The sequence below is a fragment of the Homo sapiens genome, chromosome 17 (genome assembly GCF_000001405.40).
Source record: "Homo sapiens chromosome 17, GRCh38.p14 Primary Assembly".
In the NCBI taxonomy this organism is placed as follows: domain Eukaryota; kingdom Metazoa; phylum Chordata; class Mammalia; order Primates; family Hominidae; genus Homo; species Homo sapiens.
In genome coordinates, this window is record NC_000017.11 from 78,424,835 (window position 1) to 78,446,936 (window position 22,102).

A 22,102-nucleotide genomic window follows, 5' to 3' on the forward strand; every position below is an offset into this window, starting at 1 on the left:
TCTGTGTAGCAGGACAGGGGTGATGTGGGGGCGGACTTCTAACAGGTGCCCCAGCCTCTTTTCCCTTGAACCCTGTGTTCCAGGAGTGGCAGCAGCTGGGGAGTGGGTGAGACTGGGCCAGCCAGCATGACCTGGAGTCTCAGTGCAGCCACAAAACGCACTTCTGCCCTGGGCTGACTGCTCCGTGGCAGGGAAAGCCTGGGCTTTTCAGCGCTTTTCATCACGTCGGAGCTGCTCTCTCACAAGCTCTGCTGTTTTCATTAAAGCAGAGGCCAGGTGACTGGGGTGTTTTTGGTCTCCTCCAGACCCTGCACATTCCCTGAATCCTCTCAACCCTCTCTAGGGTCAGCGTGGCTCTGACCTGCAGGCTGATGCCCCCTGAGAGCACCTCTCTCCTGCCTGTCCCCACAGCTCTTGAACAGCCTGTCTTTGCCAAGAGCTAGTTTTATCTTGTCTTGGCAAGTAGCACTGGCTCTGGAAGCTTCTGCAGACAGACAAGAGCCCTCCTTACCTTCCATGAAGAGTCCGTACACGTAGGAGCCCTCTCGCGGAGGAGCGGTCATGTCCTCTCGGTTTTTCTTGGTCACCTCGACAGACAGACACATCTTGTCCAGGGGCCACTCGTTCTTCCTGGCCATGGACTGCATGATGGCCGTGAGGAACGACTGGGGGTTGAAGAAGCCGGCCAGCCACACGGTGGTGGGCAGGGCAAAGTCTGTCGTCCAGGCCTCGAGTTCCTGCAAGGACACACGAGCCGCTAGGAGGAGAGGACATAGAATGACATGGGAACGACCGGGCCTTGGCCGTTCTGAGCAGGGGTCACGCCAGAACCTTCCACGGGCCACTCAGCGAGCTAGAAGTGCTGGACAGAGTAGGGGCCATGGAGCCCAGCCACCTACCATGACGCAACTTTGGTGTCTGCTTTTTTTTTTTTTTTTTTTTTTTTTTTGAGATGAAGTATCGCTCTGTCACCCAGGCTGGAGTGCAGTGGTGCAATCTTGGCTCAACGCAACCTCCGCCTCCCGGGTTCAAGCAATTCTCCTGCCTCAGCTTCCAGAGTAGCTGGGATTACAGGTGCAGGCCACCATGCCCAGCTTATTTTTGTATTTTTAGAGATGGGGTTTCGCCATGTTGGCCAGGCTGGTCTCGAACTCCTGGCTTCAAGTGATCTGCCTGCCTTGGTCTCCCAAAGTGCTGGGATTACAGGTGTGAACCACCGTGTCCAGCTGCTGTTTGCTCCATTTTAAACAAGGGAACAGGTAGAGAAGGGTCAGGAAGAAAATGGCTTCCTGTTTGTGGATAATTTAGGAGCCCAAAGAGGCTCTTGCCTTCATTGCCTCGCTCCTTATAGAGGACGGCTTACCCTTTGAGGGTCGCTTGAGGAGGAGCTGATGGAAGCTGCTCTGCGGCCTGGCTTGTTTTCCTCCTTTGGGAGGAAATGGCTGCACTGTCAGGGTGTGGGAGGGGCATGGGCTAGGCCCTTCTGGCCCTGATCTGACAGAGGACAGGCCCCCAGGAGCCTCCTGGCCATGCTCCTGCAGGCTCTAGGGTGTGGGGTGTGCCGAGCTCTGGGCACTCGGTCCCCGAGTCTTAGGAAGCCTCTCAGAGAAAACGGCACTTACCCTGATGCGGAGCAGCAGGTCTGCGTACCAGGCCGCCAGGCCCATCATGGAGGGGTAGGCCCGGGCCACCCACGTATCAGGCACGGTGTCATAGAAGAGAGCCGTGGACAGATCTTCCACGTCGGTCGTGATGGTCAGTTCTCCCTAGGAGACACACAGATGGGTGTGGGGAGCCCTGAGCTGGGGCCTGGGAGAGCACCAGCCCCAGTGCGTGTCATGAGTTGTCAACACAGTGTGGCTTTGTGCTGCGCCTCTGGAGACGCCCTGCATCAGGGCCACGCAAGCGCTTCCTGCTAAGGAACGGTCTAGATGAGCTCCCGGGGCTTGTTCTGGAACTGCCAGAGCTCTGGAGAGGGAGCAGTACCATGCTGATCCGGGGCCTGTGCTAGGCCTGGGTTGCCAGAGGCCTGGGTTTCTGCTGGTTTCACCATCCAGCCACGTCCCTGGGGCCGGGCTGACCCATGTTTACCTTCAGCCCCAGGTTCAGCTCCTTGAGCGAACGGCGCATTTCGTTGGTCAGGATGTTCATTCTTTCACATTCTTGAAAGGCGACTACCACGTAGGGGGTCTTTTCCGCTGCCTTTGCCATGATCTCAGCCATGTTGAAAGTCTCCGGAATCTTCTCCAGGATGTCGTCCAGCACGGCCTTCACCTGGAAGCCAGTCCCCGGACAGCCCCTGTCACTGCAAAGAGCCCACCCCACCCACTGCAGGGTCAGGGAGCCTGCCCAAAATGTTCCCAGCCCCAAGTCCTGGAGAGGAGGGAAGAGGCAAGTAGAGTTGCCAGAAATGCAGGGTCATGGGTGCAGCCACACATTTGATGAGGAGAGGGAGCCTTGGCCAGCGGCTCCGAGCATTCTGATCTCACTACAAGTCCCTGCAGCCGCGGCCATGAGCGCATCAGGCCACCTGGCTCGGTGCCTCATTTGTTCATTCCCACGCACCAGCCTCTGGTCAAATGTAGCCAGCGGTTGAGGGATTGCGACTTTGTCCTTTACGTGGGCTTTCTGTAGGGACCATGCTGGTCACACCCTGTTAAGGAGTGGCCCACACAGTGCAGTGGTCACCTGCACCACCGTCTGTCAGCCAATTCCTGATTTCAGTCATTAGACTAAGAGAAAGTCCTGGACCTAATAGGAATAAGGGTCTCACATCAAGAATTCAGTCTTTACCGGGAAGTCCTGTACTTAGCTAGTACGTAATAGAGCCTTTCCACATTCTATTAAGAAGTACAGGCCAGGTACAGTGGCTCACGCCTGTAACCCCAGCACTTTAGGAGGCCGAGGCGGGATGGTCACCTGAGATCAGGAGTTCAAAACCAGCCTGGCCAACATGGTGAAACTGTCTCTACCACAAATACAAAATTAGCCAGGTGTGGTGGCAGGCGCCTGTAATCCCAGCCTGGGAGGCTGAGCCAGGAGAATCGCTTGAACCTGGGAGGCGGAGGTTGCAGTGAGCCGAGATCGTGCCATTGCACTCCAGCCTGGGCAACGAGAGCAAAACTCCGTCTCAAAAAAAAAAAAAAAAAAAAAAGTGGAGGTACCCAGGAGGCAGCACAGAGCCACCCAGACAAGCGAGAATTTGTTCAGAACACTGGCATCCCCTGAACTCTTCTAATCCTTTGAGCAGTAACAGGACCTGCCATTGTGGCCACTGAGCGGCTCTGGAGTACCTGCCTGCACATCCGGCTGCCCGGTGCGAGCTGCTACTGCTGTTGTGCTGGCCAGGCCAGGGTGGGGAATGGTCGGTGCCCTTCCTGGCGCTCAGCTAGGGAAGCTGGAAGACTGCAGGGTGGAGGGCTGGGATGCTCTTGGAGCCGCATCCACACCCCCAAGGATCCCTTTTGTCTGGGCCCGTACGCTCACCCGAAGCCTGCAGCTGCCACGTCTGAGGACCTGCTGACCAGCCTGCGGGCCATACCCCAGTGTTTCTGATACCCAAGCCCAAGGCTGGGGCAGAGTGTACCTCACCAGCAAGTTCCCCTGTACTGCCGCCAGTCCCTGTGACCCCCTCCTCAGTTCTAGATCCTCCCCCTTCCTCTCGCTTGGGAGCAGTTTCAAAGATCCTGCCTTCTCCTCGCGGGACACTCCCGTGCCTGCCCCCGAGTCCGTCTCTTTTGGCTGCATTTCCAGGACAGTGCGGAACAGCTTCTCTGAGGTGACCGTCAGAAAGCCAATCTCTGCGTTGGGGTGCAGGCCATACAGATAGGGACTCTCAGGGGGCAGGTTCTCATCGATGTATTCGTGGTAACCCTGAAAAAGAGGGCAGTTTGTAAGCAGAGGCAAAGCTGTGCAGGCTGAAACCCATGTCCTGTTGGTTAAGCATTCCTTGCCAGAACGTTCACCCACACCTTGCTGTCTGTACAGATCCCACTTGTTTCCCAGCCCCCTTTGTGGGCTGCCCCCTGTGCTCCCAGCGACATAAAGGAAAATTCCATTCCCCCTTCCCTGAGGCTGCATTTCTTTCTTTAAAAAAAAAAAAAAAAAAAAAAGGTTGTTTGTATTAGCCTTGTGCTTCTTCCAAGTGAGACGCATTTCTCATCCTCTCTTATTTTGGCTGCCTGGGTTCTTGCTCAATTATTGACACTCCATTTGTGCTGGCAGGCTCTCACCGGGAGGCACGAGCCTTCATTACGTTGAGCTCCTGTTTAACTTGTCATCCTTACCTTGTAGTCCAGGTTGGGGGGGATCTGAAAGCCGGGGGCCAGCAGGACGTCTCCCTCCAGCATCTCCGTCCGGATGTATTCAGCCAGGTAGGTCCTGCACAGCCGACGGTCCCAGTCATCTGTGATGTGGCCGCCATACATGATTTCACCAAAAAGGTAGCGGAGATCGTCCCAGGGCACCTGAGGAAGGATGACAGCGGGTAGGGGAAAGTGCCCCTGTGCCCCTTCTCTGCCATGAGAGGGTCAGGCTCAGGCAGGCAGGGCGTGGGAACCCAGCCATTGGTGCTGTGTCCTTCTCGCCCTCCAGGTCAGCCTCCTGGCCATTTACCTTCAGGGTCACCAGGCCCCAGGGCCACCTTTCTTTCCATTCCGCGCCACCAGACGCCAATGTCCGGCCCCTTTGGCTTCTCTCACAAGGGGCTGTGTGGCACCTCCCTCCACCTTGGACAGCGCTTCCACAGCCGGCATGCTCTGCACCTCCCGTGGGGCAGGTGTTTCTGCTGTGCCTCACTGTGCCTCAGAGGCCACAGGGCTGAATCGGAACTCGCTCCCTCTGCCTCTCCCACTCTGTGTTACCATCTGAGACTCTGCCCTTCACGGTCCAATTTCAACACAAGTGGTTTGATTCTGTGTGGCTCAAGGATTGACTCCAGTGCCGTCAACCTTTTGGCCACGAAGTCGTTAGTCATGTCTTCAGATGCATCTGGTGAGTCTCCCTTCCACCCTGTGGAAGTAGAGTCCTTCCTGGTTCTCATCCTTCCAGTAGCTCCCGTGCCTCCAGGGTCTTTGCAGTCACATAGAGGGTTTGAGCAAGTGACTTATCTGACCTAGGCTGCCCGGGCCTTAGGGAACGAAGACCAAACTCGGCAGTGTGGACCAGAGCACACGCCAGGCGACCACACGCTTCCCACCCCGCCGCCGTTCCCACTCCCTTCATGCTTCCTTGCAGTCTCACGTCACACCTTTGCTCTGGAACATTCTTCTTCCTACAAAGCCTGGCTCATGGGCGGCCTCGCCATGAAGCCAGGCCCTTGTTCTTCCCGCCTCCATGTGCCCGTTTTGGAGCCTCTTTCTCCTGCACAGCGCAGTTCAGCAGAAGGACGGTGGGAGCCACGGATTGAGGCCACATGTGTCATTTTAAATTTTGTGGCAGCCACTTTAAAAGAGATCATTCCAACATGTAATTGGGATAAAAATAAGATAATTGATTCTTTTTTGGTACCCAGCATGTGAAATCCTGCCGCTCACAGTCAGCTTCTTCCTGCTTCCGCACACCTGTTCTTTCCCTGAAGTTTGCAGCTCCTGAAGGGCGAGGCAGATGTTTTCATAACATCACTTCCACTGTGCGCTGGCCGGAAGAGCTGTCATCAAATACCAGTGGGAGTTCATTGAATAAGAATCAGTTGATGAATCAATCATCTGATTTGGTCTCATGAATTTATATACATATGTATATATTTTTTAGGTTGCTTATTTTTGAGATGGAGTCTCGCTCTGTTGCCCAGGCTGGAGTGCAATGGTGCAGTCTCTGCTCACTGAAACTTCTGCCTCCTGGGTTCAAGCAATTCTCCTGCCTCAGCCTTCTGAGTAGCTGGGATTACAGGTGCACACCACCATAGCCAGCTAATATTTTGGATTTTTAGTAGAGATGAGATTTCACTGTGTTGGCCAGGCTGGTCTCGAACTCCTGACCTCAGGGGATCTGCCTGCCTCAGCCTCCCAAAGTGCTGGGATTACTGGTGTGAGCCACTGTGCCCAGCCCATATGTATATGTTTTTTAGACAGGATCTTGTTCCATGTCCCAGGCTGGAGTGCAGTGGTACAAACATGGCTCACTGCAGCCTTGATCTCCTGGGTTCAAGCGACCCTCCCACTTCAGCCTCCCAAGTAGCTGGGCCTACAGTCACACCACCATGCCAGACTAATTTTTTTATTTTTTGTAGAGACAGGGTCTTGCTGTGTTGGCCAGGCTGGTCTTGAACTCCTGGGCTCAAGCAGTCCTCCTGCCTCGGCCTCCCACAGTGCTGGGATTACAGGCTTGGGCCACTGCACTCGGCTTAGTCTCATGACTTTTTTACTCAAAACGTTAATGTTTTCCACATTATCATTAGCGACTTACAACCTTCTCTGTCTGGTCATCACAACTGTTTGCGGGCTGCTTTTCCTGCATCTTGCTTAGCAGCTTTGGAGGCAGCGTCTGTGTCTCCCGAGAGGCAGGAAGACCTGTGCCCCTCTCCCCCTCCTGGCCCCACACGCTCCTCAGGAGGGTTGCTTCCCGCAGGGGGTGGGGGTGAGTGCTGTCTGCATTTCCCGTACCTGCTGAGGGAACCCCCCACCCCGAGACTCCTGGGGGAGCTGTAGCTCTCAGGCCCCTCCCTGGGAGTCCCTGCAGGTTGCTCTGTGTTTCAAAGCAACGTTCCATCAGACTTTTGTGTTCCGTTCGCATGGGAATCCCTGATCTATTTCCTCAGAGCCCAGACGGCTAAACAGGCCGTGGACACAGATGACATCATTCCCGGTGGTCACTCAGCGTGTAGCATGACCTGTGCCATGAAGGGAATATGGGAGCCGGTGGGGAGTCTGTGGAGGGGGAGGGAGGCCTGAGGACAGAGGGAAGGTTGGCCAGCGCAGGCCACATCAGGACACAGCTCCTCAGGATGTGGCAGCCGCTGATGTACATGGTACTCGCGCGGCTTCTCAGCAGCTTAGAAGCTGCCCAGCGTGTGTCAATGGGCAACGGCTAAGGAAATGTCTTAAAAATCCTAACCTGGCCAGGTGCGGTGGCTCACGCCTGTAATCCTAGCACTTTGGGAGGCCGAGGTGGGCGGATGACTTGAGCCCAGGAGTTTGAGACCAGCTTAGGCAACATGGTAAAACCCCGTCTTTACAGAACAAAACAAAACAAAAACAAAAAAAACCTGGCATTGTGGCCGCTGTAGTCCCAGCTACTTGAGAGGCTGGGGTGGGAGGATCACCTGAGCCCAGGAGGTTAAGGCTGCAGTGAGCTGTGATTGTGCCACTGCACTCCTGCCCCAGTTAACAGTGAGGCCCTGTCTCAAAAATAAATAAATAAATAAATAAATAAAATAAATAAAAATTAAAAAAAAAATTCTAGCCAGACTGTTTCTCCCAAACTAGTCTCTGCGTGGTTTGGCCGTCTCTCCGTGCTGAAAGTCCCTTTGAACATCTTGGGTGCCTCTGGGAGTGTTTTCAGATCCGGGTCTTGTTCTGGGTGAAATGTCCGGCCGGCACCCTGCCCCATCGACCGGCAGACAGCAGAGGCTGCCTTTCCCCAGTGGCATCTATGGCCCATGGTGGCCCATTGCCAGGGAGCACAGGGAGCCAAGTCCCGGCCCAGTTCTGCTCCCTGCTACTCCAGGGCTGGTGTGCCTCCCAGGGAACTAAGCATACCAAGTTCCAGGCCCAGCCTTCGCCAGCAGCGATCCTGGGAGGTCGTTGTCCTCCAGTCTTGGTGAGGAGGCTCTGTCACAGCCTCCCAGGCCAGGTGCTTGACATCAGAGGTCACCTCCTGGGGGCCTTCTCAGGACACCCAATGGGAGCACGTGTGCCGTGCATGCCTGGGGCTTAGTGGCCCAGGTCTTGAGCTTTATTACAAGGAGATGGAAAAAAGGAGGGGGTTCCTGAGACTGGCATTGCCAGGCCAGGCTTCCCTCATTGAACCCCCAGGCCCTGAGGTGGAGGCCCATGAGGAAGCAGGCTTAGCGGTCCAGTGACTTGCTGGAGGTCTCAGTGAATGAGTAGCAGAGCAGGCTTCAAACGTGCCCCCCCCCCCCGACCCCGGTGCCAGCACCGTTTCTCACCATGTCACATCCAGGCCCTGGGAGTCCTCCAACCCCGAGGCCCCACGTAGGCAGCAGCCCTCCTGGGCAGCTGAGTGCAGCTTTCTTCCCATCCCCCTCCCAGTCTGTAAGAGGGTGCCCGGACCTTGCTCTCTCTGAGCCAGGGTCCATGTCGCTATTGATTTGGAGGCCGAGAGTGAGGAGGAGGACCCAGGGTTTATAGGGGTGTGCACCGCCCTCTGCCTTCTGGGCGAGGGGCTCCTGGGCCTGTGCCAGGCTTAGCCTGAGTCAAAGCTTCGTAAGAACCGTGCGTGGTGAGCACTACCGCTCTCTCCAGTTTATGGTTGGGGTGGCCAAGCCTTAGGAGACCGTAGATGGGGCTGCAGGGCCTAGCAGGGTACGTGCTGCTTACAGAGGGCCCCCTCCAGCGAATAGCAGGTCTGGGATTCATACGCTACCATCTGGTCCCAAACCTGTGCCCTCTGCTGTGCACCTTGCTCTGTGCCCCGACCTGTGCCTCCTGCTGCAGACCGTTTACGGAGGATGTGTGGCTTTCTACTCAGTCCTCTGTGGCAGTCTGCATGCGCCTTTATGCATTCTCATAATGGACACAGCACTCCCTTCTATCCGGGGAGGTTTTTTGTCCCTCCTGCTCCAAACCTGGGTTCTCTCCAGACACTGACAGAGCCGTGGTGAGGCCTGCAGCCCGGGAAGCCCTGCTTGTCCTCCCCACTGAGTCCCAGCTCACACCCTGTGGTGGCAGGATTCTGGGGGAATCCTCATCCAGGTGCAAGAGGGGCAGGTGGCGTGGAGTGTGCTAACAAGCAGAAGAGCTGTCCAAAAGCCGGCTCCTGCAGGAGGTGGGGGCAAAGGACTGGACCATCTTAATTACAGCAGGCTGGAGAGATCACAGATGGTGCTGCCTTTCAAGTTCTCTTTGGTTTGTGAAACCTACTTGATGTCTTTTAAGCCTAAGACAAAGACCAAAAGGAAAGGGAGGGAAGGAAGGAGGGAGGGAAGGAGGGAGGGAAGGAGGGAGGGAAGGAGGGAGGGAAGGAGGGAAAGAGGGAGGGATATGTCCAAGTACAGGGCACACACAGCCCCTCACCTTGGGGTTGGCCTCCAGGTAGTTGTAGAGCACGTTGATGGAGATGGTGAGGTCCCCGTTGTTGAAGGGGTACGACCGGTTCCAGCCCTGGGCGCCGAACTTGCGCCTCTCTGCCACCACAGCGTGGAAGTAGCACAGGGCGAAGAGCATGCACTTGAACTCCATCTCCTTGGTGCACATCTCCAGGGTGTCCTGTGGGGCACACGCTCCGGTCAGGTATTAGGGAGAGGGAGAAGTTTACACAGAAATGCCCCTGAGGGTGACCAGCGTCCAGCCCTTGCCAGATGCTTTGCTAGGGTGGGGGCGGTGGGGGGTACAAAGCTGTGGGCTGTGCAGGTCTCTATCAGACCCGCTGCAAGGAAAGCTGGGCTGTCATGGCTGAGTACGATCTTCTTGTTCCTTTCAGAAATGCAATTTTATCCCTTTTAAGTACTTAACTACAAGTTGAATTATTGATACTGCTTCCTAATATCTTCCCAAATCCTGGACATTTCGGGACTACTTTAATACGAAATAATGTTCCTTTGTAATTATCAACATTCCTCATCACTTATGCACAGTATCCCAAACTCTAAAAACAACTGGTAAAGTTCCATCAGGATGGGGGATGGGATAGAGGATGGGGGATGGGATAGAGGATGGGGGATGGGATGGGGTCGCTTCTCAAACCCTTTCTTTTTATCTGGCTCCAGGGAAGGGAAAACTGAGCCTAAATTGTGACTCCTACGTCTCTGGATTTGTGAGCTTTTACTCATTAACCTTTGCTACGTAGTGACTCCTGAACACACAGAGGCTTCTGGAAGCCAAGCTGTGCTCCACCTGCTCTACTCAGCGGCTGACGGAGCACCTCTGGGGCCAGGCACTCTGTGTGGGGGGAGGGCTTCAGGCACAGTGGCCGAGGATCCCGCTGGGGAGGGACAGATAAGTGCCAGGGGAAGTGTACTGGGTGGATCAAGAGCAGGGCCCTGTCCTGGGCATCATGGAAAGCCTGGCACAGGCCCCTCTGGCAACATGGACAAGAAGGGGAGCAGCTGGGGTTCCATCACTCGAGTATCCCCTCCTGGCTGCCTGGGACAGAGACGATGGGCCCAGGAGACTGGCCTGGCCAGTCCCTTTCAGACCTCAGCTCCCTGGGGAGGGCGCTGGCAGTGAACACGTGGAGAGCCAGAGTGACACCAGCCAATGGGAGACTCACCAGCCCCCAAGGACAAGGGAAGGCCTGGCGGGTGTCACCGTCCATCCATCCTCCAGAGTCCATCCGATCCGGTGCTTTTCACCAGCCTACCCGCACTCAGGTCTGGGGCATCGTGGACATACAGGTTCCACCCACCACCGCTTCTTCCTGTGGGCCCTTGTTTTCAGAGGCCCACAGCCCCTCCGAGGCAACTGGTCCCTGAACTTGTGAAGGGTCTCCTTACCCACAGGTCTCAGCTGTCACTCCCTGGCTACCCACCTCCCCAACCAGAGATGGGATGAGGTGCCACTCCCGTGTGCTGGCTGGCAGGGCTCCACGCTGGCTGGAAGTGAAGGCCCAGTCCCTGCCTCAGTGCCCCGATCCCTGTCTGTCGCTGACTGACACTTTGCAAAATACAATAAAACGAAACACCAAAGGAAGAACTGCCCCTGTGCTTGGATTCACAAGTGTCGGGTCGCTGCAGAGTTTGTTGAGTGCCTCCTGGATTTCTGCGCTGATCTCATACAGACTGGCAGAAACCGTTCCAGGACTGGTGCTGACCTCAGGGCTGCTGTGAGCTGCATGGCCCCATAGCACCGTGTGTACCCCACGCACTCATCACACTAGGGTGCTGCTTCCAGAACGTATCCTCGCGCCCCTCAGCAGGGTGCAGGCCAAGGCAGGAGGCGTGTGGTATTGATTGATTGGTTAATAGAACGGGGGACCTATTTTAAACATTTGTTTTTCTGCTTTTTCTTTTACTTTCACACTTTGACAAGGGTGTGTCCTTTAAAAGCTGGTTGGGAATTGTTAATGGGTGACTCTGATATTTCCATATAAGTAGTTTTTAAAAATGTATCAGGCATGGAAGCCACACATTCATGGACCGATACACCCCATAAGTAGATCTTTGTTAAGTGTTATAGAATGATACAGGGTGTTGGCCGGGCGTGGTGGCTCACGCCTGTAATCCCAGCTATTTGGGAGGCCGAGGTGGGTGGATCACCTGAGGTGAGGAGTTTAAGGCCAGCGTGGCCAACATGGTGAAACCCCATCTCTACTAAAAATACAAAAAACTAGCCAGGAGTGGTGGTGGGTGTCTGTAATCCCAGCTACTTGGGAGCCTGAGGCAGCAGAATCACTTGAACCCAGGAGGCAGAGGTGGCAGTCAGCCGAGGTTGTGCCCTTGCACTCCAGCCTGGGCAATAAGAGCGAAACTCCATCTCCAAAAAAATAGGGTGTCAAACCTCAAAAAAGTTCTAGGCTCCACTTGGGAGATCAAGTTTGTGCACACAAAAAGTTCTAGACAGAGAAAATGCTGAGGTGCCAAAAGGAGAAATATCGACATGAGGACCTGCAGAGGCAGGAGCACCCCCGAGGACAAGAGTGGCCAAGATTTGGGAGCCTGAGGCAGGTGGATCACCTGAGGTCAGGAGTTTGAGACCAGCCTGGCCAACATAGCGAAATCTCATCTCTACCAAAAATCCAAAATATTAGCTGGGTGTGGTGGTGCATGCCTGTAATCCCAGCTACTCGGGAGTCTGAGGCACAAGAATTGCTTGAACTCGGGAGGCAGAGGTTGCAGTGAGCCGAGATTACACCATTGCACTCCAGCCTGGGTGACAGAGTGAGACTCCATCTCCAAACAAACAAACAAACAAACAAACAAACAAACAAACACGTGGCCAGGAAGGCTGTGGAGAAGGCTGCATCTGGGGGAAGCCTTGAGGTCTGTGAGGGAAGAGTCAGGTGAGGACAGACCCCAGGCAGATGCAGAAGTGGGATCCCAGCCAAGGAGGGTCCTCGAGCCCCAGGTGCCAGGCAGGCCCTCACCCTCCGTCCTGGAGGCAACCAGCAGCCACTACAGCTGTTAGCAGAGGAGGACCGGGCTCCCTAGCTAGCTGTGTTTTGCCAGCTGTTCCTGCTGATGGTGGGTCAGAGGGGGGCTGAAGGCAAGGAAACCTGGTCACAGATCCAGAGCCTCAGCGAGTACAGCAACCCCATCTACCCTGGTTGCCCATAGCCTCCAGCAGTGGGGCTCTGTACTCCCAGGAAAGCTGACCAGCCTCCAGGGAGTACCCCACGGAGCTTGGCCCCATTTCCAAGGACCAGTCATGACGTGTTCCATGCTCTTTAAACACAATGGACAGCATCTACCAGCCCTCATTTGCAGGTTCATAGAACTGATTAAAAACTATGTGTTTCTGCATCTACAGCTTTAAGTAATAAATAGTGCCAGAGCACCTTAAATTATTTGCATTTTTCCGTCTTTTAGAAATACATTGATTTTGACTGCGAGGGGTGTGTGGACAGGGGAAGCCCAGAGGGGAGGTGTCCCCAGAGTTCAGAGCGGTCCTCAGTGGTCCTCGGGGCCCCAAGGGATGGATGCCAGGCCGTGGCATGGGATGGGGAGGCAGCCCGAGCAGGCGTGGCCCTACCTGGGTGAACAGGTCCAGGGCCTTGTGCAAGTTGGCGTGCATGCCCGTGGGGGGCTCGTTGGTGATCTTGATGGCGTTCTCCAGAATGCCCTGGGGGATGATGTGGGTCTCGGGGCTGGGGGCAGGCTCCGCGCTGATGAACACCCGGTAGTCCTCATGGCTGCCCGTGCTGTAGTGCTCCAGCTTCTTGTCCAGTGTTCCCAGCCACCGGGCCACCAGGTGGATATTCTGCAGCCAAGACTAGAGGCTGGTTACACACTTTGCCCAGCTCCTGGCCCACGAGGAGAGACTGGCACGTGGCTATGTTCCCTGGTGAGGGCAGGGCTCTTCTGCCAGCACCCCACACTTGCCTGGTGCTGGCACTGCCCCACCCCTCACCTGTCCACCCTAACCAGGTGCTGGGCATGCCAGGATGTCTTCGGCGAAGCAACTGAGGCCCCAGAATCTATTTTTGTGTTCAATGAATTGCAAACCTCCAGCCTTACGGTGAGTCCTTTGTGTCCTCCCTGGCATAAGGCTGAGATTCTGTGGTCCCCACCCCTCCTCTTGAAGCTGAGGGCTTCCCACCGGGGCCAGGCTTAGCCCTGTGGATTGAGGTCGACACACACTGTAAGACCCGTGGAAGCTGGGACAGGCCCAGAGGCGCTCGAGGACAAGCGGTAGTGAGAAGGGGTCTTGGATGGGCTCCAGGGCTGAGGAGGGGTGGTCGTGCTAGCGTTGAACCAAATGTGCAGAGAGCATCTCCTGGGCGCTCTGGGCTTTGCTGCCTGCCCCAAGTGAGGAGAAGGAGGAGGAGGAGGAGGAGGGAGGAGGGAGGAGGAGGAGGAGATGCTTTTGTCAACCCAGCACTTGTCATCTTTTTTTTTTATTTTTTTGAGATGGAGTCTCACTCTGTCGCCCGGGCTGGAGTGCAGTGGTGCACTCTTGGCTCACTGCAACCTCTGCCTCCCCGGGTTCAAGCGATTTTCCTGCCTCAGCCTCCCAAGTAGTTGAGGTTACAGGCATGTGCCAGCACACTTGGCTAATTTTTGTATTTTTAGTAGAGACAGGGTTTCGCCATGTTGGTCAGGCTGGTCTCGAACTCCTGACCTCAGGTGATCCGCCTGCCTTGGCCTCCCAAAGTGCTGGGCCTACAGGTGTGAGCCACCGTGCCCAACCATCTGTTGTTTAAATAATCTCTGTTTGGGGTACTCTCGTATAAAGCCCAGCTTCCCTCTCACCGTTGAAGAATCCACGCTTTCCTCTGGGCAGTCATGGCGTGCCACACCACCCAGCTGACCCCAGCAGAGCCGACACTGGGGATGCCTCCTCCTTCAGTGGTGTTAGGATTTCCACCCACATTTCTGAATGCAAACTCCACATCCTGCTTCCTTCCGGGCCTTCTGGCCCATCCCCATTGGCCACCTCAGTGCGGGGAGCCCTTACCCTGCAGTGCTGGCCCCCTCGTACCTGCAGAATGACCCAGTGTCCTTTCTCTGCAGCCACGTCCAGGGCGTTCTCAGCCACCACCTCTTGTCCCTGCCCCAGGGACACATTATGGAGTTTTCCATTGTCTATGGTAAACCCTAGTTTTTTTCCTAAAGAAAAGAAAAACAGGAAAAAAACACCACGTAATTAAATGACACAGGTTCAGGCTCTGTGATCTACAGCCAGGAATTCCACATGCCTCCCTCATTTAGTTTCGGTGGTGAAATACACATGACATAAAACTTGCTGTTTTAAAACCCATCTTAAAGCGTACAGTGCACCGACATTCAGTATATTCACAATGCTGTGCAATCATCCGTTTGGTTCTAGAACATTGTCATGGCCCAAGAGGTGGTCCCCATACCCATTAGGCAGTCGCTCCCAATCTCCTCCAGGAGCCACTCGTCTACAGTCTCCTTTGTGTCTCCATGGATTTATCCATTCTGGATATTTCATATCAAGGGAACTGCACAATATGGGGCCTTTGTGTCTGGCTTCTGTCACTGAGCATAGTGTTTTTGAGGTCCATCCACGTTGTAGCATGTATCAGTACTTCACTTTTTTTTTTTTTTTTTTTTTTGAGATGGAGTCTCACTCTGTCGCCCAGGCTGGAGTGCAGTGGTGCCATCTCTGCTCACTGCAACCTCCACCTCCCGGGTTCAAGTGATTCTCCTGCCTCAGCCTCCTGAGTAGCTGGGACTACAGGCGCCCGCCACCACACCTGGCTAATGTTTGTATTTTTAGTAGAGATGGGGTTTCATCATGTTGGCTAGGCTGGTCTCAAACTCCTGACCTCAGGCGATCCACCTGCCTTGGCCTCCCAAAGTGCTGGGATTATGGGTGTGAGCCACTGTGGCTGGCCTCACTTTTTTTTGAGACAGGGTCTCAACTCTGTCACCTAGCCTGAACTCCACTCCCCAAGCTCAAGTGATCCTTCTGCCTTGGCCTCCAGAGTAGCTGGGACCACAGGCATGCACCACTATGCCCAGCTAATTTATAAAATTATCTGTAGAGACAAGCTCTCCCTGTGTTGACCAGGCTGATCTTGAACTCCAGGGCTCAGGTGCTCCTCCTGTCTCAGACTCCCAAAGTTCTGGGACTACAGCTGTGAGCCACTGCACCTGGCCGACTTCATGCTTTTTTTTTTTTTTTTTTTTTTTTTTTTTTGAGACAGGGTCTTACTCGGTCGCCCAGGCTGGAGTGAAGTGGCTTGATCACGGCTCACTACAGCTTCAACCTTTTGGGCTCAAGTGATCCTCCCACCTCAGCCTCACAGGTAACTGGGACTACAGGCGTACACCACCATACCTGGCTACGTTTTCTTGTATGTTTTGTAGAGACGGGGTTTTGCCATGTTGCCAAGGCTGGTCTTGAACTCCTGTGATCAAGCGATCCGCCCACCCTGGCCTCCCAAAGTGCTGGGATACAGGTGTGAGCTACCGCCCCCGGCCTGCTTCACTCTTTTTTAATCGAGGGATACTATTCCACCATATAGAGCCACCATATTCTGTTTATCCACTTATCCATTTGTCAGTTAATGGACATTTGGGTTGTTTCTGCCTTTTGGCTATTATGAATGAACGTCTGTGTAGAGTACTTGCTTGAACACAGATTTAAATTTCCAGTTCTTTTGGGTGTATACTCAGGCGTGGAATTGCTGGCTCTTGTGCCAATTCTATATGTAACTTACTGAGAAACCACCAGACTGTTTTCCACAGCAGCGGCCCCATTTTACATCCGCTCAGCAACCTACAAGGGTCGCAGTTCTCAGGCCTCACAACTCGTGTTATTTTCCTGTTCTTGATCATTGCCATCCTACCGGCGTGAAGCCGCGTCTTGGGTGTGAAGTGGTGTCTCATGTGCTTTTGGTGTGCATTTTCCTGGTGCCTGGTGATGCTGACAATACTCCGTCTTTGAGAACATCACTTGCCTGCTACACTTACCCAGGGCTTCCACGTCTTTCAAGGGGTCAACCCCCGGGGAGAGGATGAAGAAGATTGACGTGGAGGGGCTGCTCTCCTCGTAGGACTTAGAAAACTCAACACTCCGGCCTTCCACGAACTTGCTGCCCATCTTTTCCTCCACGAAGTTCCTAGGGGTGGAGTGCATCAGAGGCAGCGGAACCTGAGGCTCTGGGCCAGGGCGGGGCGCTCGGGGTGGGCTGTGGCCCAGGCAGGGGGGCCATTTTTTGGTGGACTTTCTTCAGCGGGACAAGGCCTGTGGCAGGAGAGCAGAGTCTTTACCGGGCTTTCCTTTCTGCGAGGGATTGGCCTTGTTTGCCTCGGGCACCCTTTCTTTCCCGAGGGGCCCCGCACTGTGCTCCTCCTTGGAGCAGCCTAAGCAGGTGCAGGGAGAGGCCAGCCTTGGAAGGCACCCAGGGTCAACTGCGGGGGGTGGGGGCGCTGAGAAGGAAGGAAGTTCAGATTAGAGCAAAGCTTTGGTGAGCCTAAAAAAGTCAAAGAAAAAAGCAACTTCAGATGATATAAACACCTCTCTCTACAAAAGCCCCCAACTCTTTCTAACATGACCCCAATAAGTCTGGGGTCAGTCGGGGTCTCGGCTAATCCTCCCATGGAGGACCGAGTGATGTTCTGGCGGTCTTTGGATCAGGTGTTGGCCTTTCTTCTGTGATCACAGAGGGCTGAGCTTACTGTAATGTATAAAGAATGAATCACCTGAGCTAAGATTAGTAAACTTGCCAGTGTGGTGGCTCATGCCTGTAATCTCAGCACTTTGGGAGGCCAAGGAGGGCAGATCACTTGAGGTTAGGAGTTTGAGACCAGCCTGACCAACATGACAAAACCCTCTCTACTAAAAATACAAAAAGTAGCCAGGTGTGGTGGCACAGGCCTGTAATTCCAGCCACTTAGGAGGCTGAGGCAGGAGAATCTCTGGAACCCAGGAGGCAGAGGTTGCAGTGAGGTGAGATGGCGCCATTGCACTCCAGCCTGGGCAAGAGAGCGAGACTCCATCTCAGAAAAAAAAAAATTAGTAAGATTTTAGTGGCCAGCTGGTCTCTGAAAGGAGGACAAATGGCCGCATCCCGAAGGGTGAGAACTGCTCGTCCCTGGGCAGGTGAACGCCCGAGTGCTCTGAGAGTCTGGGTCGACTTTCAGAAGGCTCTGCTCACACTCATGCCACCCAGCACACCTCACCTCCTCTGGTTCAACCAGCAATCAGCCGGCTATTGCCTGTCCATGCCCTTGGGACTTTCTGGGGACACCTGGATCTGCTATTCCTTTCCCTGCACTGGCCTTTGCTGGCTTGTCTCTGGTGTCCTGAACTGGGGCCAGCCTCAGGCAAGGGTGGGGAGGAGTTGCTCCTCCTGAAGGCCCCCAATTCTTTTTGGAACTCTGGAATGGCCTCAGACCCTAGATGCTGTGATCCTTGTCTAGGAAGGAACTTCCAGAACATATGAAGTCCTGCCCCTAGGCAGGAATGACTCTAGATCACCTTTGCTAATTACTTGGCCAGGCCAAATGGTCATCGGCTGTGGATGAATTAATGATGCAGAAGCATGCAGGCTGGGTTCGTCAGACCTCACCACCTCTGACATGGTGGCTTTGACAAAGGAGTGCTGGAGCCGGCTGGTGACAGCTTTCAGCAGACCCCGGCAACTAGTGCAACCGGCCACAGAGGAAGCACTTACGCCATGGAAATTGGCACATGCTGTGCGTCAGGGTTTGTGTTGCGCACGTGGGGGTGGCCTGGCCTGCCCTCCCAGTGCCTGTGACCTGAGTGTGGAAGTGCTCCCGCGGCTGTCAGTGCTTGCAACAGTGCCTGACACGAGACACCCTTGGCCAGTGCTGGCTTTGTTATTAGTCACGTCTGTTTCAATCTCCTTGCTTTTAAGCGACCCCCTCCCTATACAATCAGGGCAGTAAATCTGCTTTGCTCCACGTCATAGAAATGTGAAACACGTCAATGCTGAGGGATGATCTGCGCTCATGGGTGTTTGGGATGGTCCAAGGCCACCGCAGAGCACGCAAATGCTTCCGCAGTGGGTGGCTGTTTCCTTCTTTTAGGTGGCCAGAGTGCAGTCACACAGGCTAACTTAGGCGATTCTCAGAAGCTCTCAGGAGATGGGGAAGGTCACCTCACCTCATCCTCTAGACGAGGAATCGGATGCACACTGGGTCTTGTGACCCAAACATGCTGCACACTCCCACAGGAGAGGGTGATCCCGCTGCGATGGCCGAGGGACCTTTACCTTGGCCTTTCCCAAACCCTGACCCCCGCTTCCTCCAGCTCTGACCCTGGGACACAGCTGGCATTCTCCCTGGACCTCGCTGCTCTCCTGCATCACAGTGACTTCTGGCTTCATTCCACCCCCTCCTCCCCACCACTCCCGGTCCCTGTCCTCTCCTATCGGAGGAAAACAAGGCAAAACTAAACTCAGTCCTGGGAGTTAGGCCTCTGCTTTGTCAGAAGGGAATTCTTTTTATTTTTATTTTTATTTTGAGGCAGGGTCTCGCTCTGTCACCCAGGCTGGAGCGCAGTGGCACAATCTCGGCCCACTGCAGCCTCCACCTCCCGGGCTCAACCAATTCTCCCACCTCAGCCTTCTGAGTAACTGGGACTATAGGAGCCCGCCACCGCGCCCTGCTAATTTTTAGACTTTTTGTAGAGATGGGGTCTCACTATGTTTCCCAGGCTGGTCTCAAACTCCTGGGCTCAAGTGATCCTCCCCAAAGTACTGGGATTACAGGTGTGAGCCACTGCACCTGGCCATCAGAGGGTAATTCTATTAGGGACATGAGTGTCCTTTGGGAAACCTGGCTGCTTTCAGGCTACTTGGAGAAATGAAAAGGGGAGAAGCCAGACAGGCCACAGGTGCTCTGAGGACAGACCCCAGGCTCGTTTCTGTGCTAAACGTCACCTCCTTCCTTCAACAGCCCATCCTTCCAACAGGGAAGGGTTTCAGGTCTGGAGAAATTGTTGGTGAAATCAGAACAGTTCTCTTGCAAACTAGCCATACTAATATACCTCGATTGACTTTACGTTTTGCCACAGAGGTACTCAAAGTCCTCGAATGCTGATGGGTTTGCCATTGTTTTCTCCCTCAAAACATCTTAAAAGGACCCCATTTGTATGGCCTCAGTGCTTATTCACGTCCACACTTGACATCTTACTTTCAATGTAGGAGGCTCATGTGGGGAGTCTTTTCTTCCTATCATGTATCGCAGGGCACCCCTCCTCAGTCAGGTTAGCGGGGGACAAGGGGTTCCCCTAATGATACTCTGAGACATTAAGGATTAACAAGAACTCAGGACTGGAGTCCGCAGCCTGGGGTGGAATCCTGCCTCTGTCCTCGAAGAACTTTGTGTGAAATGATTTACCCCTCTAAGCCCTGTTTCGTTTCTGTGTAAAATGGGGAGAAGAAAAAAGTTCAGGGGATCAACTCAAGTCCACAGAGAGTCTAGCACAGCCGCTCGGTCAAGCTTCCATCAGGCCTGGGCCTCGGGGGCGGGGCCCCCGGCGCGGCGGGACACTCACTTGATAGCGTAGGTCATGCGATCTGGCCGCAGGCAGCGCACCATGCACAGCTTCTGCAGGGCCGTCTTGTTCTTCCACTCCTTGGGGAAGATCTCCTTCTCGGGGGCTTCCGACTCCACCAGCTTTTTCCAGCGCTTGGCAGATCCTTCGATGTCACTGTCCAGATTTTTGAACTCATCCATCTCCGAGAGGGCCTAGGGGCAGAGGCAGCGGGCCCTGTGACTCTTCCCACTTACCCGGGTCCCGAGAGCCTTCCTGTACAGTTCATTCAAGGAGGAGAGGCCATTACCCTCCGAGGAAACCGGGGCTCTGGGATAAGGAAGCCCGAGAGGCTGGCCACCAAAGCAGGAGCTGTCCATGCCCAGCTCAGGCATCCCAGGACAGCGCCGGGAGCCTCCTCGGCAGGGTCTAACCTGCGGACATGAGGCCTGGGATGGGCTAGGGGCTGCTTCTCTAGGGGTCTCTGCAAATGGGGCCATTCTAGCTCAGGGGACGACCTTCTTCAGGTCTTTTTGAACAGACCTTGAGACTCGAGGGTCCCTGACTGTGTCCAGGAATCTGAAGAACAAACTTTTCACTTGCCACTTCCCTTACGCTGGGAGGAGGGGAGGCTGGGGGGAGGAGGGGAGGCTGGGGGGAGGAGGAGAGGTTGAGGGAGGGATGGTAAGAGGCCCTGAGGCCTCTTCTGGCCCCCAGAGGATATCACTCTCTGCTTGCTGTGTGCAGGTCTCAGGGACCTAACACATGTCACATTCCCTATAGGAACGCAGAGCTATCTGTGAGCTGGCAGCCAGCCCATCTTGGTCTCCATCCCTATGTGCGGGGCCTCCTTGCTTTACTGAATTTATGGGCCACAGAGCCTGGTATTCTGGCCTTGGAAACATCCGCAGCATCAGCTGGAGGGGGCTCCACGGCGGGGAGAAAGCACAACGTGTTCAACGTCTAAAGACGAACCTTGATCCCGCCCCAGCCTTGATGCTGGAGGAAGTCCACTGGTGAGACCACTCCGGCCTTAAAAGGGAACCGCAGGAGGAAATCCAGCTCCACTGGGTTCAGCTCCTTCTTCATGGACAGGACCTGGGGGAACATCGAGGTGTACACACTTAACGCAGCCAGTAAAACGTCAGCAGCCCTGAAGATGCGCGCTGGACTCGAAGAGGAGTTCACACTCCCGGCCTGCAGGGGGCGCCCTGTCCTGCCCCTTTGGTTTGGGGTAAAGTTTTGTCTTCACCTCGTCTCGCTTTTTAAGTTGTGAAATACACATACCATAAAATTGACCATTTTGGCCGGGCACAGTGACTCACGCCTGTAATCCCAGCACTTTGGGAGGCCGAGGAGGGGGTGGATCACTTGAGCTCAGGAGTTCGAGACCAGCCTGGCCAACATGGTGAAACCCTGTTTCTACTAAAAATACAAAAAAATTAGCCGGGCGTGGTGGTGCATGCCTGTAGTCCTAGCTACTCGGGATGCTGAGGCAGGAGAATCACTTGAACCTGGGAGGCAGAGGTTACAGTAAGCCGAGATTACGCCACTGCGCTCTAGCCTGGGCAACAGAGTGAGACTCTGTCTCAAAAAAAAAAAAAAAAAAAAAAAAATTGACAATTGTAACCATATTTTAGTGTGCAATTCAGTGGCATTTCACATGATTCGCAGCATCGTGCAACCATCAGCACTCTCTAGTTCCAGGACTTTTTTGTTACCCCCTCGCCCCTGAAGCAGCCACTCCCCATCGCCCCTTGCCTCTGAGAGCTGCTCATCTGCCTTCTGCCTAGGGATGCCCCTGTTGTGGATGCTTTGTATAAATGGAAGCACACGACATGCCCCGTTTGCATCTGGCATCTTTCACTTAGCGTGATGCTTCTGAGGTTCATCCATATTGTAGATGTGTCAGAACCTCCTTCCTCTGTAAGGCCGAGTAATACTCCATTCTTGAATATAACCACGCTGGCATTCTCCATTCACCTGCTGATGGACAGCGGGTCGTTTTGGCTGTTGTGAATTGATTAGCTTTGCTGATTTTTTAAATTTATTTTATTATTTATTATTATTTATTTTTTTGAGACAGAGTCTCACTCTGTCACCCAGGCTGGAGCGCAGTAGCGCAATCTCGGCTCACTGCAACTTCCACCTCCTGGGTTCAAGCAATCCTCCTGCCTCAGCCTCCCAAGTAGCTGGAATTACAGGTGTGTGCCACCATGCCCGGCTAATTTTTGCATTTTTTGTAGAGACAGGGTTTCACCGTGTTGGCCAGGCTGGTCTTGAACTACTGGCCTCAAGTGATCTGCCCACCTTGGCCTCCCAACGTACCAGGATTACAGGTGAGAGCCACTGTG

The 22,102-nt window shown here is 54.4% G+C and overlaps 1 protein-coding gene across 4 annotated transcripts in view, besides 3 other annotated features; it reads right to left on the minus strand.

The window, feature by feature from the left end:
- Positions 1–22,102, minus strand: part of DNAH17 (dynein axonemal heavy chain 17) — a 153,700-nt gene that overhangs the window by 1,138 nt on the left and 130,460 nt on the right. For 2 of the 4 annotated variants that reach the window (XM_024451013.2, XM_011525416.3), the window contains 11 exons: positions 20,724–20,846; positions 19,770–19,963; positions 16,217–16,365; positions 14,256–14,383; positions 12,807–13,046; positions 9,195–9,386; positions 4,287–4,466; positions 3,691–3,873; positions 2,092–2,274; positions 1,623–1,766; positions 512–737 (listed from right to left, as the gene is read on the minus strand). In XM_024451013.2, coding sequence (XP_024306781.1) covers positions 512–737; positions 1,623–1,766; positions 2,092–2,274; positions 3,691–3,873; positions 4,287–4,466; positions 9,195–9,386; positions 12,807–13,046; positions 14,256–14,383; positions 16,217–16,365; positions 19,770–19,963; positions 20,724–20,846 — 1,942 coding nt within the window. Of the gene's footprint in view, positions 1–511; positions 738–1,622; positions 1,767–2,091; positions 2,275–3,690; positions 3,874–4,286; positions 4,467–9,194; positions 9,387–12,806; positions 13,047–14,255; positions 14,384–16,216; positions 16,366–19,769; positions 19,964–20,723; positions 20,847–22,102 lie in introns of those variants that run through there. The other 2 variants (NM_173628.4, XM_047436981.1) reach the window with 2 other exon arrangements.
- Positions 1,089–1,589: an enhancer, noted in NCBI's record as "H3K27ac hESC enhancer chr17:76422004-76422504 (GRCh37/hg19 assembly coordinates)". NCBI's record gives its function as "activates a minimal SCP1, AML or CMV promoter by ChIP-STARR-seq in naive H9 embryonic stem cells {active_cell/tissue: H9 hESC(naive)}" and the evidence as "EXISTENCE:reporter gene assay evidence [ECO:0000049][PMID:30033119]".
- Positions 1,590–2,090: an enhancer, noted in NCBI's record as "H3K27ac hESC enhancer chr17:76422505-76423005 (GRCh37/hg19 assembly coordinates)". NCBI's record gives its function as "activates a minimal SCP1, AML or CMV promoter by ChIP-STARR-seq in naive H9 embryonic stem cells {active_cell/tissue: H9 hESC(naive)}" and the evidence as "EXISTENCE:reporter gene assay evidence [ECO:0000049][PMID:30033119]".
- Positions 12,296–12,924: an enhancer, noted in NCBI's record as "H3K4me1 hESC enhancer chr17:76433212-76433840 (GRCh37/hg19 assembly coordinates)". NCBI's record gives its function as "activates a minimal SCP1, AML or CMV promoter by ChIP-STARR-seq in naive H9 embryonic stem cells {active_cell/tissue: H9 hESC(naive)}" and the evidence as "EXISTENCE:reporter gene assay evidence [ECO:0000049][PMID:30033119]".